Source organism: Homo sapiens, chromosome 5 (genome assembly GCF_000001405.40).
Source record: "Homo sapiens chromosome 5, GRCh38.p14 Primary Assembly".
Taxonomy (NCBI): Eukaryota; Metazoa; Chordata; class Mammalia; order Primates; family Hominidae; genus Homo; species Homo sapiens.
In genome coordinates, this window is record NC_000005.10 from 66,328,680 (window position 1) to 66,346,187 (window position 17,508).

The following is a 17,508-nucleotide window of genomic DNA, read 5'->3' on the forward strand; positions in this document are numbered from 1 at the left end:
TAGAAGGGTATGAGTATTCCTCAGCATAATTCCTGGTGTTACTGATTAAAGGGCTGTGGATTACTTCCGTAAAAGAGCTCAGATCTTGGACAGGTTGACTAATTCAATAAGCAGGGACACTACTGTGAGTTGTTTTCCAGGGCTGAACTGAAAGGACACTTGATTGTCCTACAATGATGGAGCTATAGAGTATGGAGACCCAAGATTAACCTTTCCAAAGCACACGCTGGGAATTACTCTGGGTGTGGGTGTGGAGAAAGGAGAGAAAAACTGAGAAACTCAGAGACAGAGTTTGAAGAGGACTTTGTAAGTGAAGGTTTTTACCATCCCTTGGTAAGTGTGTCCCTTTAAGGAAGAAAGGGGCTGGCTCCCATTTGGATCTACACATCCCTGGGGAAGATATCAGAATTTTCCATTAATAAACTTAGGAGTTTTAAGATCCATAAAGTCTATGTGGGGAATTGAGTTGGTAGTCAAACCCTTGAATTAAAGCTTGATTTCAGAGTCTCAGTAGGTGTGGGTGAGGTGAGGTGAGGATGGCATGGGTGCCTCATCTAAACAAATGAATCATGGAAAATACCTTGAATCACCTAGCCCCACCTTCCTCCCACTGCAGGAATCCCTCACACAACAGCTCAAACAGATAATCCTGTAGCTTCTGTTTCAGTTCGTGCATTGACAGGAAACTAACGAATCTCTTAACAGTGATAGGCTTCAACAACCCACTGTGGGCTGACGTTAATTGTTAGAGGCTGCTTCCTTGCATGAAATTAAATATGCCTCCTCTTGGCCATAGTTCTCCTCTCTAGAGCTAAACAATTATATTGACTTTCAACATACTGTCATTCCAAAGAGAGCTATTCAGCCCCCACCTTACTCTTCCCCCATTGTTTTCTTTTTCAGGCTAAATCTCTTCAGTTCATCCCCTTGTTGATCATAGAACATACTTCTAGATTTCTCTGAGCTCCTTTGGATGTCTTCTGATTTGTCAACATGTGCTATGGCCTGGCCTCTTTCTTCTCTCTGTAAGCCAAGAGGAACATAGCACTGGGCTTTCCTGCATGTGGCAGTTAGGAGTTTTCTGAGCCTTCTTGAATGATTTTTTTGGCACAGTCTGGCCTGCTCTGTGCCTAGTGACCATTTGTGGCTGCCCAAAGGTTGGGGAACTTTGCCCAGGTGGGAACAGTCTGACCTGGAAAGCTTCTTTCCCCAAGAAGTATAGGGGAACTAGGTTGGAAAAGACTTGCCTGTCCTCTTCAGGGATCTGTCTACTCCTTAGAATAGTCTGCACCTCTCATTTTCTCAAAGATCATGGCCCCGCTAAGGCCCAAGGCCACAGCATAGAATTAATTTTGGTCCTAAAGAAGAGTAGATAATGATCTGGCATTCCTGATCTCCATCCATCCATCCATCCATCCATCCATCCATCCATCCATCCTCACATCAATCATTTATCAGCATGCACTGAGCAATGACTTTTTCGTAGGCAATGAACTAGGCAGGGAAATAGGACCTGTGAGTTGCAGTTTCCTGCTGAGGAATCTCTCTTCTCTTCCTGAGCCCCACCCCTCTGTAAGTAGTCAGAGACTCAAAGAAGACTTAAGAAGATCCAGGAAGATTAAGGCAGAGCCTCAAGAAGGTCACAATCTAAAGTAGTTTATAGTGAAACATTTCAATGAAGGGTGATATGGTTTGGCTGTGTCCTCACTGAAATCTCATCCTGAATTGTAGTTCCCATAATCCCCACATGTCATGGGAGGGACCCAGTGGGAGGTAATTGAATCATGGGGGCAGTTGCCCCCATGCTGCTGTTCTTGTGATAGTGAGTGGGTTCTCACAAGATCGATGGTTTTATAAGGGGCTGCCCCCTTCACTGGGCACTCATTCTCTCTCCTGCTCTCCTGTGAAGAAGTGCCTTCCACCATGATTATAAGTTTCCTGAGGCCTCTCCAGCCATGTGGAACTGTGAGTCAATTAAACCTGTTTTCTTTATAAATTACCCAGTCTCAGGTATTTCTTTATAGCAGCGTGAGAATGGACTAATACAGTAAATTTGTACCGAGGAAGTAATGTGTTGCTATAAGGACACCCGAAAATGTGGAAATGACTTTGGAACTGGGTAACAGGCAGAGGTTGGACCAGCTTGGAGGGCTCAGAAGAAGACAGGAAGATGTGGGAAACTTTGGAACTGCCTAGAGACTTGTTGAATGGCTTTGACTAAAATGCTGATAGTGATAGACAATGAAGTCCAGGCTGAGGTGGTCTCAGATGGAGATGAGGAACTTGTTGGGAACTAGAGCAAAGGCGACTCTTGCTATGCCTTAGCAACAAGCCTGGTAGCATTTGGCCCCTGCCCTAGAGATTTGTGAAACTTTGAACTTGAGAGAGATGACATAGGGTAGCTGTTGGAAGACATTTCTAAGCAGCAAAGCATTCAAGAGGTGACAGAGCATGAGATTTGGGAAAATTTGCTGCCTAATGATGCAATAGAAAAGAAAAACCCATTTTCTGGGGAGAAATTCAAGCCTGCTGCAGAAATTTGCATAAGTAACAAGGAGGTGAATATTAATCATCAAGACAATGTGGAAAATATCTCCAAGAAATGTCAGAGACCTTCACTGCAGCCCCTCCCATCACAGGCCCAGAGGCCTAGGAGCTAAAAATGGTTTCCAGGCCCAGGCACCCACTGCTGTGTGCAGCCTAGGGACTTGGTGCTCTGTGTCCCAGCTGCTTCAGCTATGGCTAAAACAGGCCAAGGTACAGCTTGGGCCATGGCTTCAGATGGTTCAAGCCCCAAGCCGTGGCAGCTTCCACATGGTGTTGAGCCTGTGGGTACACAGAAGTCAACAACTGAGTTTTGGGAACCTCCACCTAGATTTCAGAGGATGTATGGAAATTCTTGGATATCCAGGCAGCAGTTTGCTGGAGGGGAAGAGCCCTCGTGGAGAACCTCGGCTATGGCAGTGTGGAAGGGAAATGTGGGGTCGAGTCCCCACACAGAGTCACCACTGGGCCACTGGCTAGTGGAGCTGTGAGAAGAGGGCCACCGTCCTCCAGACCCCAGTATGGTAGATCCACCAACTACTAGCACCATGCTCCTGGAAAAGCTGCAGACACTCAATGCCAGCCTGTGAAAGCAGCCAGGAGGGGCATGTACCCTGCAAAGCCAGGGGGATGGAGCTGCTCAAGGCCATGGGAGCCCACCACGTGGGAGCCCACCATATGAGAGCATCCACATGATCTGGATGTGAGAGATGGAGTCAAAGGAGATTATTTCAGAGCTTTAATTACTGCCTCTTTGGATTTTGGACTTGCATGGGGACTGTAGCCCCTTCATTTTGGCTAATTACTCCCATTTGGAATGGGTGTATTTATCCAATGCCTGTACCTCCATTGTATCTAGGAAGTAACTAACTTGCTTTTGATTTTACAGGCTCTTAGGTGGAAGGGACTTGCCTTGTTTCAGATGAGACTTTGGACTTGGACTTTCAGTTTAATGTTAGAATGAGTGAAGATTTTGGGGGAATGCTGGAAGGGCATAATTATGTTTTGAAATGTGAGGACATGAGATTTGGGAGGGGCTTGGGGTGGAATGGTATGGTTTGGCTGTGTCCCCACCCAAATGTCATGTTGAATTGTAGTTCCTATAATCCCCATGTGTCATGGGAGGGACCCAGTGGGAGGTGATTGAATCATGGGGTCAGTTACCCCTGTGCTGCTGTTCTTATCATAGTGAGTTAGTTCTCATGAGATCTGATGGTTTTATAAGGGGCTTCGCTCTTCACTGGGCACTTATTCTCTCTCCTGTCTTCTTGTGAAGAGACGCCTTCCACTATGATTATAAGTTTCCTGAGGCCTCTCCTGTCATGCAGAACTCTGAGTCAATTAAACCTGTTTTCTTTATAAATTACCCAGTCTCAGGTACTTCTTTATAGCAGAGTGAGAATCAACTGATACAAGGGGGCAAAAGGGAATATCCTCATTACAGGATTTATTAAAGGAGATGTAAGAATCTCAGGCAGTAGGATAGGAAAACTGGGGAGGTAGGAAGAAATAGCAAGCTTAGTTCAAAAAGTGTATACTTGGATCACCATTATGCCTTTTGTTTAATTGAAGTTGATATACTTAATTTCCTGAAAATGTATACAACTCTAAAAGAGAGTAGAATGTGTTCATATTTATGACAAAGGGGCATGGATTTTTAAAAACGCCGAGAATCCCTGGCTTGAAGCTTATTGGGAAGGGTTGGGCCCTTCCCTCACTGCTTCTGTTCTCCCTTTCTCCTGAGATGGATGTAGCTATTTTTAATCTCACAGCTTATGGCTTACAGTTCACTGATTCTGAAGAATGGGGAATCTTTTCTTGGCACACCCTATAGATCAACTTCTGGGACGTTTTCTACTTCAGGTCTAGCTTCTCATGGAGCAGGGAAGCTGAGGAATAGAAGAGAGGTTAGTCAGCAGGAATTGATATTTTGTTGCTGTGTCCTCTACCCACTGTCTGGCTTCTCTGCAGGCCTTGCTGCTTTTGTGCCTGCAAACACCTAGGGTTCTTGGACCACCTCAAACTCTTTCCTTTAGTGAAACTGAGTCCAGGCCAAAGGCGGCAGATAGTCTACCCCCACTGCATACCACTGGGATGGTGCTGACATCCCTGAGGATGGTGCCCATGGATGCAGAACAGTCAGTAGTAATGAAACTCACAGTCAGCTAGGAACTTATTAATAGCAGGCAGGGAAATATGCCAGGGTTTGCAGCATCTCATTCAGCTGCCTCGCACCAGCTGCTGGAGCCAGAGGTAACATAGCCCTACCTCCACACTCCCATCCCTGCTCCCAGAATTTGCTCTATCTTCCAGGCAAAAGTTTCCCAGGTCAAATCGCCCAAAGATTTATCTCCTCTAGGTCCTGGGGGACTTTGTTCCTTTAGCTTTGTTTGCTTTAGTCAAGCACCTGTCAGTTCCAGGTGGGGTTTTCCTGTGTATATAGTAGGTGCTCAATAAATGTTCGTTGAATGAAAGGTATATTGGGCTGTTAAAGGAAAGGTGTATTGGGCTGATGGCAGGAATGGTTTTTGCCAGGTAGACTTCTTGAATGCTGGAAATGATTTTCATGGAGGGAAACATTCCTGTGTGTATTGAGAGTGATGAGCTGGTGTAGTTTTACTACTCAGTTCCCTGCAGAGAAGCTGGGCAGATCATGTGCATTAGAAAGTCTGGAGGTTGAGAAGGAGAGCCTAGCATGCTGAGTGTGTCCACAAACAGAGATATTAGCAAGGCATCTGGGTCTGACCAGCTCAGGAACCTCGGAGAAGGAGGTGGGCTGCCTCAGGGGAGGTAGCTCACCAACAAAGCCCCATCAGTCTCAATAAGTGGGAGCAGGGCTGGCTCCATAATTTTCAGGGCCCAGTTAAAATGCAAATGCTGAATCCCTTGTGGAAAAATTACAGACTTTCAAGATGGTGATGGCAGATCATTAAACTAATCACAAACTCTTCTAAGTGCAAGGCTTAGTGCAACAAGTCGGGTTACATGGCCCTGGGTAGGAGTCATTGCCTGTGCATATTTCCACTTTAAAGGTAGACCAGTTGTAACGTTTTGGGAAAGTATTTTCAGTCAGCTCCTCTCTGATGCATTCCCTTTTTACTCTTTCCTTGACCTATTAGCATTAAGCCTGCTTTGCTCTGGTTGCAAACTCACTGTTTGTTCGGCATTACCTCCTTGCTCTGCTATTAGCAGCTAGTAAGTCTGAGGTTCTCCATGGTGAATAATATTATCTCTAATCCTTTCAGAAATGCTTAGTGGTATTTTTACCCCCATTTTACAAATAAGAAAACATATGGTCAGAGACACAAAGTAATTTGGCTAAGGCCACATAATTTGTAAATGACAGAACCATGATCAGGATGGCTTCAAAAACCCATACTCTTTCTATTCCGTACCTTTTCTTTGAGGATGCAATTGTGTCTTGTTAATTTCTGTGTCATCTGCAGGGCCTCACATGTAGCAGGCTCTCAATACTTTTTCTTATGATAAGAGAACCAGTCAGACGTGAAACTTGAAAGAGAGATTTAGGGATCTTGACTCCCAGGTAGCACTCTGTTCACCTGGCTGTGGTACCATCCTGTCTATTTCTGAGCATCCTAAAATAAAGATAACTGCTGCATATTAGGGGTTTCCTGGATTATGGACCTCCATTGATGTTGAGGGTTCCCTTGCTTGGGCTCGATTTGCACATCTTCCTGCCTCTCATAGGCACTGACCTAATTCCAGCCAACCGCATTGTCCTGGGTGGGTTCTCTGACTAAACCTATCTCCTCTCCTGCCCTGGGGAGCTGGGCTGATCATGCAGAAACTTAAGCAATTTGCTCTACCCTCTTTTCCCAAAGACTCAGCCACAGCAGGTCCCCATCAGCTAGTTCTTTGCTCCCTTTCCCCCAGGCTTCACCCTGACCCCCTCAGCTTTCCAAAAGCCCCTCCCAAACAGAAGGTAAGTGCAATTGCTATCATCTCTCCAGGAAAGAGAGGAAAGAGCAAGTGAACACATAAGCAAGGAGACCATTTTTATTTTTATTTTTACTTTTGAGACGGAGTCTCGTTCTGTCGCCCAGGCTGGAATGCAGTGGCGCAATCTCGGCTCACTGCAATCTCCGCCTCCCGGGTTCACGCCATTCTCCTGCCTCAGCCTCCTGAGTAGCTGGGACCACAGGTGCCCGCCACCATGCCTGGCTAATTTCTTGTATTTTTAGTAGAGACAGGGTTTCACTGTGTTAGCCAGGATGGTCTCGATCTCCTGATCTCGTGATCCACCTGCCTCGGCCTCCCAAAGTGCTGGGGTTACAGGCATGAGACACTGCACCCAGCCAGGAGACCATTTTTAAATGATGCTAATGAGTCTACTTCCCATTCTTGCAGGGTAGGAGGGACATGGAGGTGAGCAGTATTCCAGATAAAGTCATTGTGTGTGGCTATGCCTCATTTTATGCCTAATCAGAGTCCATTCCAGGAGCCCGCAGGATGTTGGAAGAGCAGGTTTCACCAACATTGTAGATTCATGTAAAATAAAGCCTAATTGCCTTCCTGCTTTCTAAAGCAAGAAACACATGTACAGGTGTTTCTTGGCTTATATGTGTTAGTCCTTTTTCACGCTGCTGATAAAGACATACCCAAAACTGGGCAATTTACAAAAGAAAGACATTTAATTGGACTTACAGTTCCATATGGCTGAGGAAGCCTCACAATCATGGCAGAAGGCAAGGAGGAACAAGTCACATCTTACATGGATGGCAGCAGGCAAAGAGAGAGAATGAGAGCCAAACAAAACAGATTTCCCCTTATCAAACCATCAGCTCTCGTGAGACTCATTCACTACCATGAGAACAGTATGGGGGAAACTGCTCCCATGATTCAACCATCTCCCACTGGGTCCCTCCCACAACACGTGGGAATTCAAGATGAGATTTGGGTGTACACAGCCAAACCATATCAGCTTATGAAGGGGTTACATCTGATAAACCCATCATGAGTTGAAAATATTGTAAGTCGAAGTGCAATCAATACACCTAACCTACCAAATATCATAACTTAGCCTTGCCTACTTTATACATGCTGGGAACACTTACATTAGCCTACAGTTGGGCAAAATCATCTAACACAAAGCTAATTTTATAATAAAGTGTTGAATATCTCATGTAGTTTATTGAATATCTCCTGAAAGTGAAAAGCAGAATGGTTTTATAGGTACTCAAAGTACAGTTTCTACTGAACACATACTGCTTTTCCACCATTGTAAAGCTGAAAAATTGTACATCAAAGCAGCATAAGTCAGACACCTTCTGTACACTTCACTGTGCTTGACACACCCACTGTGCCATGGACAGGTCACGTGGCCCAGAGCCTTTGCCTTGAAAGATTGTCTACCATGCCCTGCAGCCTGGACCCTTCATTAGAGCCACCTCTCTCTAAATTATTGGTGGCTTGCCTAGCTAAAATTCCCCTGAGTCTCTGAGTGTGCCCACTAATTTAAGACTCTCTAGGTCAAACTCTTCTCTCATTTTCCTTTGGGTGTGATTAGGTTAGTGCTTTGTGCAGTTGGGGATCTCACTTTGCTGAATTCCTTTTCCACTGGCTTCTGATGAAGAATAAATTGAGAGGGCTGATAGGGATGTTCTGCTGATTCTTATTGTTTGGGACAAGGGGGTGTGTTGGCAAGTCTCATTTTGAAACTGTCACTTCTTCCAGAATATGCAACAGGACAGATATTTACACAAATAATGTGGAAAATTGATTGTATGGGCCTGCTGGGCCATAGGGAATTTCCCTTTTGGAATCAAAATTTAGGAGATGCAATTCTGAGAACACTGAAGCTAACTGAAACTTCCATTTGGAAGATCCTATTCTCTTGAGTCCTTCTGTGTGAGCTGCTTCAGGTTTCATGCTACTTTGCCCCACTTTGTTGCTATATTTTGTAACAGCAGAGGAAGGGGGAAAAACCCTCATCTTCTGATGTTTATTTGACTATTGAGGCTAATTGTTCATTTGCTGAAAAGAATAAAAGACCAAGGGTCTCTAAAATACTACATTGTCTGTGTGTGTTTGTGCACATGTGCATATATGAGTATTTTTGCTTGTACATGAGTATATTCTTTGTCCGTGTGTGTTAGAAAGTGAGATGTGAGCATCAAGCTTAAAAATAAAGACAAGAACATTTTATAAAGAATATCCCCCCCCACCTCTTTTTTTGTCTTTTCTCCCACAAGGCACTGCCTTCCAGCTGTAATTACACCCTGTGTTTAACACTTGCAGAGAATCACTTACACATGTCCCTGCATACTCTTGCATCTTCATGTTTTTCTTTCAATATATAATTGTGGTAGAAAGACAAAAGGGATGATCAGATTTCAGGAGTAAGAAGGAAGACAGAAGCAAGCTGAAATCTGAGATCACAGCTCTTTATAAATGCTTGACTCAGGAAAGAGAATTGTATCTGCTGGACTTGGTGCCCAGACAAAGCCTCAAAACACAGGCAGACCTCCACAGGCCATTAGAAAAACCATTTCTCCAGAATATGTGTTGGTATAGAGAGGACGAGAAAAGGTGGTAAAAGCCTGCCTGAGATTGTAGCCACTGGAGACTGCTGATGAAAATTGTGCATAGCTGAAAGAGCAAATCGCTCTAGTTTTTCAGTGATTGTGCTGGATTTTGAAATTAAAGCCAGCGGGGCGAACGTACCTGCCTGAGCTTCAAGAGATGTGGCGGGCTGGTGGACTTGTGGGCTTGTGAGCTACAAGCATCTATGTTTCAAGCTGCGGAGCTCTGTGCCTGTCCTGCTGCGCATCCATGTGACTAGAGTCTCAGGACCGGTGATCTCTTTTTAGCCTACGGTAGTAGGCAGAACGGAAGCAGATTTTACCTGGAGAGTGTGGTGGGGGAAGCTAAGGGTGGTGGCTTAGGCAGTAAATCACAGTTCCTTCTTTTGTTTTTTTCCACATCAGGGAGGCTTTAATCCTACTCCTCAGGCTAAGCTTAGGGGTGATTTAAACTGTTTAAAGTAAAGACCAGCTCTCAGAAAGCCTTCAAGATTTCTAATTTGATTGGAATTTACTTGATGCTAAGCGGACAGAGGTGCTGGAGTGTCTTCTTTTTAGCAAGAGTTAGGTTTTAAAGTCGGCTTGTGGGGTGAAAATTGCAGGTAGTCACAATTAGGCTTGAAAATCCTTTAACAAAGTATACGTCAAGCTGCTTAGACCGGGGAAAGGTGGGGAAAACTGTGGCTGGAGGGGAGTGCCTGTTCTCCCTCTCCTCCAGGTTCACCTGGGGCATTTGCTCTCAGAGAATGGAGTAGGACTGGCAGTATTGAAGTTATTTTTCTCCCAGTCTCATCCAGCCAGCTGGGCATTCTTGAATTTGCTTAAGTTAAATCTATGTAGGATGCAGTTTTACTGCACAATGGTGGGCCAAAAAAAAAAAAAAAAGTGCATTTGCCTTATTTGGAAGAGGAGGTGGGTGGGCAGAAAACCTGGGACTTGATATCCCCAGCCTGACCTCAGGGACCTCTGGCTTCACTGCGACACATTTTCAGGGCCTCTAGCTAACAATGAATAGCTAATATATAACACTGAAAATGTGCTAGACATTGGTGAAAAGCGCTTTATGTATATCAACCTATTCAATACCTACAATAACTCTATAAGATAAAACTTTATTATCCCATTTTATAGATGAGGAAACCACATTTTAGAGCTCATTCACAGTTTTGTGCCTGAAGTAGCCTATGAAGACGATGAGTGTCAGGAGTGTGTGGGTAGAGGATATGGAGAGGAACTGGAAATTTCAGCCTCTTTCTTGGGGCCCAGTGGGGATGTTGTAAGTGGGAGGATCTGCACTGCTCATCCACTGGGGCTTGGTGATGCCAGATTCAGCTGCCTTGCTCTCTGTCTCTGGGCTTTTGCACAGGCTGCTCCCTCTGCCTAGTGTACTTGGTCCCCTACTTTCACCCCGGTAACTCTTATTCATCTTGTAATTGCCCTGTGAGTTCTTCTGGCTTGCTGACAGACAAAACCAGTTCCTCGAAACAATGGTATAGCAGTAAAGAAAGAGTTTAATTGACGTGAGGCCAACCAGGTGGGAGATAGAGTTATTACTTAAATCAGTCTCCCTGAAGGCTCTGAGGCTAGAGGTTTTCAAGGATAGTTTTCAAGGATAGTTTGGTGGGCAAGGGGCTAGGGAATGGGGAATGTTGATTGGTTGGGGATGAAATCATAGGAGTGTGGAAAATGGTCCTTATGCACTGAGCCCCCTCTGGGTGGAGGGGGTCACAGGACCGGTTGAATCACAAGTTGCTGGTCCAGGTGGAGTCAGCCAGTAGTCAGAAATGCAGAACTCTAAAAAGACATCTCAAAAAGCCAATCGTAGGTTCTACAATAGTTATGTTATCTACAGGAGTAATGGGAAACGTTACAAATGTTGTAACCTCCAGAACAATAGCTAGTTGTCATTTAACTATGCTTACATCTTAGCAGAATGAAGGACTTTCATTAGTTTTGCAAAGGCAGTTTAGTTTTGGGAAGGGCTATTATCATTCTTGCTTTAAGATTAAACTATAAACTAAATTGCTCCTGAAGTTGGTTGGTCTATGCTCAGGAATGACCAAGGAGAGCTTGGAGGTTAGAAGCAGGATGGAGTCAACTATGTTAGATTTCTCTTACTGCCATGATTTTGCAAAGTTAGTTTCAGTCTCTCCTGGGCTCCTGTAGCTGGATTAGTGCCTGCCATGCCCCCTTTCACAACTCTCACTCTGTCTCATTTACTAGACTAGATCCTTTTAGCCAAGGATGAAGACTTTCCACTGCTGTCTGCTCAGCACTCAGCACAATGCCTGGCTCACTGTAGTACTCGGTAAATGCTTGTTAAATGGATGTTGAGCAAGTAAAGAGAATACAATTTCCTATCCAGTTCCTAAAATACAGACACCTCCCACTTAATATTAGTCATCCCCTCCTAAAATCAGATGTTGTGCACAAAAATGCTAACCAGAGCTGTTTCCTATTATTTGAAATGGGAAAAATTACAAAATGGTATGCATCAACCCCAAATCCTTAGCCAATTTCTGAAAACATAGAAAAATGCCTATATGTAACTAAAAAACTTATATTAGGGTGTAAAATGCTTAAAACATTCCTTCATGATCCCAGACCACTAATGTGATTGTTGACAAACAGCTGCTTTGTGGGCAGTAATATCTTCTCTTCCTGTGTCATGGCTTTCCTCTCTGGTTTTACTTGCTTCTACAAGTTTTTTTCCTATGCTTTCTCAAATTTTGGGGACGTTTTACAATACTAAGCAAAAATCAAGGTAAATTATCCAAGTCTGTGGAAATATGTTTGGAGCAAGCACAGCACAGGGAGAGAATGGCTCACACTGAATATGAAATCCTACCAATTGAATGTGGAATTTAACTTGTCTTTTCCATACATTACATTGTTTGGTTAAAAATAATGCCCTAGTTTTGGGTATGTAAATGTATTTTTTTCTAAAATTCATACATCACCTGAAAAATGTTTTATCATAGCCAGTGCCTTCCTTTCTTCCTTCTGTTTTTCCTTTCTTCTTTCCTTTTTTCCGTCCTTTCTTTTTTCTTTCAAAGTATTTGAGTCCATAAAATTTGGGTGTGACCAAGGAAGGGATCAGAATATGCCACATGACATAAATATTATTTTGAGTGAAAGGCATTTGAGAATCAACAGATTCAGGAAGAGCCTTTCTCTGCACTCCCTCATCTGCCTAAAAGCAGAACCTTCCAAAAGAATTCTGCTATCATGAATCCTGCTTTAAGGAAGTACCAGGCAGAAGGGGTGACTCCTGTCACCAGAGATGAGAAGTTGACACTGGATGCATAAACACACCTTATTAAAATAAGCCTTATTGTACTATAAGGAATTGATTGATGTGATTGTGGAGGCTGAGAAGTCCCATGATCTGCTGTCTGCAAGCTACAGCCTGGGATAGCTGGTAGTATAGTTCTAGTCAGAGGCCACGGCATGCCAGACTCTTATTGGCTCTGATAGAAATGGCAACATGTCTGAGAGGCCAAGGAAGAGACCTAGAGACAGAGAACAAGACATAGGGTTTATTGGCATGATTTACATACAGGGATGGTCCAGTGGTGGTAGGCGGGACAGGAGAACCACTACCATTTGTAAAAAGCATGCAGTTTATATAGCATTTTCACTTAGCACCCTCCAACCAGCAACCTTCACCTAGCAACCTCCATTTAACCCAAAACAAAGGGCCTCAATTCCTTATACAGCTTGTATTCCAAGGGATAGGCCAGGGGTTCAGATGTCCTTTATACATAAGGAGTGAGTCTTTACATTGGCCACTCCTGAATTCCTTAGCTTGAGACTCTGAACACATATTCTTCTTAGACCATAGGGTCACTCTTAGGCCATGCTTCAATTGTGGCTGTCAGGTCCCTCTGCCATACAGCCCAAAGGCCTGAACACCAGGAGAACTGATGGCTCTAGCCTAAATTTGAAGGCCTGAGAACTAGAGGAGCTGATGGTGTAAGTCCTAGTCTGCGGGCAGGAGATGAATATTCAGTTCAAGTAGCCAGGTAGAGAGAGTAAATTCTCCTTTCCTCTGCCTTTTTGTTTGATCCAGACCTTCACCGGATTGCATGGTGCCCACTCCTGTTGGGAAGGGCAGTCTGCTTTACTGAGTCCACTGATTCAAATGCTAATCTCATCTGGAAACACCCTCACAGACACACCCAGAAATAACATGCAACCAATTATCTGGGTACCGTTTGACCCAGTCAAGTTGACGCATAAAATTTACCACTTCACTTGCCTTCCGTTGGTTTCTTTATATATTTCTCAGTCATTTCCCACCATTTGTTGTCCCTTGAAACCCTAACCCCTTCTCCTTGTTAAAATGGTATATAAGCTCCAAGTTCTAACAGCTTCTTTGAGCCACTTTCTTTGTGAGCTCCCAAGTACATACATGAATAAACATTGTCTTTTCTTTTGCCAGTCTGTCTTTTGTTGGTTTTATTCATAGACCCCCAAATCACTGAACCTAAGAGGATAGAAGAAAAGTTTTTCTTCCCTGATACTTTAAAAGGTCCACTTATTTCAAAACAGGACAGAGAACTGTCTTTTGTGAAGTTTTTATGAATGGTGATGCCAACATGGATCACCTGTCAGTTCTTTAAGGGCCAGAGACCTGTCTCTAACTCTGAAGCCCTGGCCCTGAAGTGGGCTTGGATCCCATTTGAGAAATCTACCTACATGGCTCTTGGCTCCTGGCCATTCCTCCATCTCTCTGGTCTATGGAGATGCCCAGAATTCTTGACTCATCAGTGTGATTAAGACACTACATCTTTTGTAGTGTCTTATATTACAAAATATATTACAAAAGCAGAGACATTTAATATTGGTTTTTCCCTTCTTTCACATGGTAACAGAACCCCTGAATTTTAGCTGAACATAGAATGAAGACTACATTTTCCAGTCTCCCTGGCAGTTGGTGTGACCACATGACTGGTTCTCACCAATGGAATGTGAATGGAAATGATACTTGTCATATCTGGGGTATTGATATTTTTGGAAGGCTGGGAGTCAACAAAGATCCCCAACATTGTCATAAAGCAGTTTTTTCCAGCTAGACCTTGTGCAAACTGCTAGAGCTCAAGATTGCACAGCTCACATTTAGTGAAATCAGGAACATGTTCAGCACAGTCCCTGGCATGAAGGAGGAATTCAACAAATACATGTGTTGAGTGAATGAATGGATGAATAAAAGACGTTAGAGATCTAGGTGATCATGCTGAATGTTGGTCTTCTTTCATTATTCAGGATGGATGACTTATGAGTCAAAGACAGTCTTAGTTCTATTTTCAGTGCCCCCAGGCTGCTGATTGCTGTCACCTGCACCTCTCCATTACCTGTATGAGATCCCTCTAGGTGGTAGCACCCTCCTTATTTTGTGTGCCCACACATGACCCCAGTCCTCTCATAGGAGTTTTGCTAATTTGTTGGGGCCTAAAAAGGAACAGAGTTGAAACTAAAGCATGTTGTTTTATGGAATTTGCCAACCTGTCTTATGTCATAGCTAGTTTCTTTCCTTTAAAAATGTATTCCATGGATTCAAGCATAGATTATCAAATAAAGGAACAGAAACTCCCTCCTTGTGTAGCAGGAAGAGGGTATAGCGCCTTGGGTATAACAACCTTTTCCCATAGAAGATAAAGTAGAAAGGGCCCATTTGAAGCCTTCCAGAGCTCAGTTACCAAGAAGTGCTGGAGTTCTCAGAGCTTAATTTCCTTGTACCTGGTGTGGTTGCCTTGAACTTTGCTCCCAATTGAATCGGGCCTTAGGGTGCACTAACCCTCCTGCATAATAGATCTAGCCACTCAGGGAGGGAGATAAGCCTGACGCTAGCTAACGGAGGCTTTCTAAGCAGCCTGCCTATATCCTTAGCACTGCATCCTTGGATTTTTATCTTTTTTATTTGGAAAAAACTATCACAAGGACATGGGGCCTAACAGCATTGATTGTCTTGATAGTTTGTTGATTAAGTCCAGGAGATGCTGGCATCCGCAAATACATCTTATTAGGTATGATCAGGCAAGTAAATTGTCACTGCCCTCCAGCATGCTGCAATAATTAACTCTAATACCAACAACTAAAAGTTAATCACAGCAGGTGCAAAGCCAGGCTTTCTTTGTCTGCCTGCAAAACCTTTTTCCCACCATGGCTTCATAAGGTGTTAGCTCTGAGACTTGGAACAGGTGCTTTGTAAAAGAGCCTTACCTTTCTGTAAAAGCATTCCACATATTATTATTTTAATTTAATTAGCTTTTAGAAAGGTTAACCATGACATGTTAATAGCTTAAGTTTCACATTAATATTCTGAGAACACTGTTTAGCCCGGCCACTTGTGATTCAAGAAGATGTTTTTCCAGAAAATGAATTGGCTTTTAGGACAATTACAGAAAAACAGCTTTCATTTGATTAAGATGGATATCTTACTATTAAAAAATGTTGTTGAAATGAAATATATATAAGACATTGAAAAACATTAAAAATTTAGCTTGATACAATTCATGTTTGAGAGAGGGAGATGGGGCAGTATGTTTATGGAGATTATCTCAAAGGTGGCTAATGTCCTTCAGCAATAGGCAAATTAGTGGACTGTGCTTGTGATGTGCTGTGTGTTGTCTACCTAATGTTTTATTTATTTGCCTGAGAGCCACTGTTTTCATTAAGGAGTTTAGAAAGCAAAGCAAGATGATATTTACTAGCCTGGCAAACGAATAAGCTCTGTTCATGTTTCTTCTTTTGCTATCATGGCTAATCATTGTTTTTTAAAAATAGCTATTCAATATGCTAATGGATCCTGTGGAAACAGGAATAAACCATAACTTCCTATAGAGGGAGGGAGCAAGGAATAATTCAGTCGTACATGCACATATGGCTACTCTGTGCCAAGCATTGTGCTAGCTCTGGGGGCACAGAGGCAATGAAGCCAGGGGCCTGCCCTCCAGATACTCCTGATAAGCAGGGAGCTGGCATCCATTATACAATTAACCCTCATTATACAGTGTAATAGGTGCTTTTCTTGCCCCAAAGAAACACAGGGGACAAGTAATTAGTTCAGTCTGGTGTGATTGGAGATGGCTGCAAAAAGCAGGGAGGAGCTGGGACTTGAAGGACTAGATGATTTTGCCAGAGGTAGACTGTTGCTTAAACCAGTGGTTCTCAAAGCCAGTGAAAGGTGTGGTGTGTGTGTATGTGTGTGTGTGTGTTTTGTGTGTGTGTGTGTGTGTGCACAAGGGTGTGTGTTTTAACCAGCCTTCCAGGTGATTCTGATCCTAACTAAAGCTCAGAACATGCTGATTCATGGCCCGTCTGGTCAACTGTGAGACATTTGACTTGACCGGAGCTTTGAGATTGATGGGGGTATGGAGGGATGGGATACCAGGCTGTGAAGCTGGAAATGTCAATTGAGGTCAAGTTTGAAGCAAGGGAAGGGAAGATATTAATATTTATATTAGCTCTCTGTATGTGGGCTTTTGTAATGATGGTTCTGGTGCCAGGTAACAGGAACCAGCTGGAATGAGCTTAAACAAATAGGAAATTTATGAAAAAGATACCATGATATCTCATTGCTATCCAAGGGAGAAATCAACAACCAGGCCCTAGGAAGGTATTTTTTTTTCTTTCTCTAGTTCATTATTTCCTTAGGATAGATTCCCAGATGTAAGATTACTGCTTCAGAGAGTGTGAACAATTTCATGGCTCTTGAGGCATGTGGCCAAGTAGCTTCTAAAAGTTTGTAGCAGTATACAAGGCCACCAGCATTGAACATATACACTGGTTTTACTACATCCTTATCAACATTAATTTTATTGTTTCTAATTTGATAGGAGGAAATGATGCATCATTGTTGCTGTTTCAATTGATTGATGACTAATGAAGTCATTAAAAATGTGATTATTGACCAACTGTGTAGCCTTCCTTTCCTGAAAAGAATTTTTTGTCCTTATTTTATGAGGAGAGGACCTACTCTACTCTCCAGGGATTCAGAATAACCATAATTCTAGCAAAATAAAGAGGAAATCATATTGGTTTGGGTGGCTCCAGAGCTGTCAGCTTAACAATGGGAGCATCATCATTACTGTCTTCATTAGCAGCTGAAGAAGCCAAGGTGCCAAGAGAACCTGCCCAAATCCCAGCTCTGCCACTTACAGGCCTCGTGATTTGGTGTACGTTTCTGCGCTCCTCCGAGCCCTAGTTTCGTCATCTGTAAAACAGGGTTAATTTACCCTACCTACTTATATGAGATTTTGAAGATCAGAATGAGGTCAGATACTTGAAAATGCTTGATAAACTGTAAAGAACTATAAAAATGTAAGCTATTGCTATTATTATATTGGCTTGTGCAAACGAACAGTCTCTGCGACATTGCATTAGGTCAGGACTTTTACCGTTGATTGAAAAGTGGAAA

General features: G+C 43.2%; 1 annotated feature.

Moving 5' to 3' along the window:
* Nucleotides 1-1,200: an enhancer, noted in NCBI's record as "P300/CBP strongly-dependent group 1 enhancer chr5:65624508-65625707 (GRCh37/hg19 assembly coordinates)". NCBI's record gives its function as "activates an origin of replication core promoter dependent on BRD2, BRD4, P300/CBP, MED14 and CDK7 cofactors, with strong dependence on P300/CBP, by STARR-seq in HCT116 cells {active_cell/tissue: HCT116}" and the evidence as "EXISTENCE:reporter gene assay evidence [ECO:0000049][PMID:35650434]".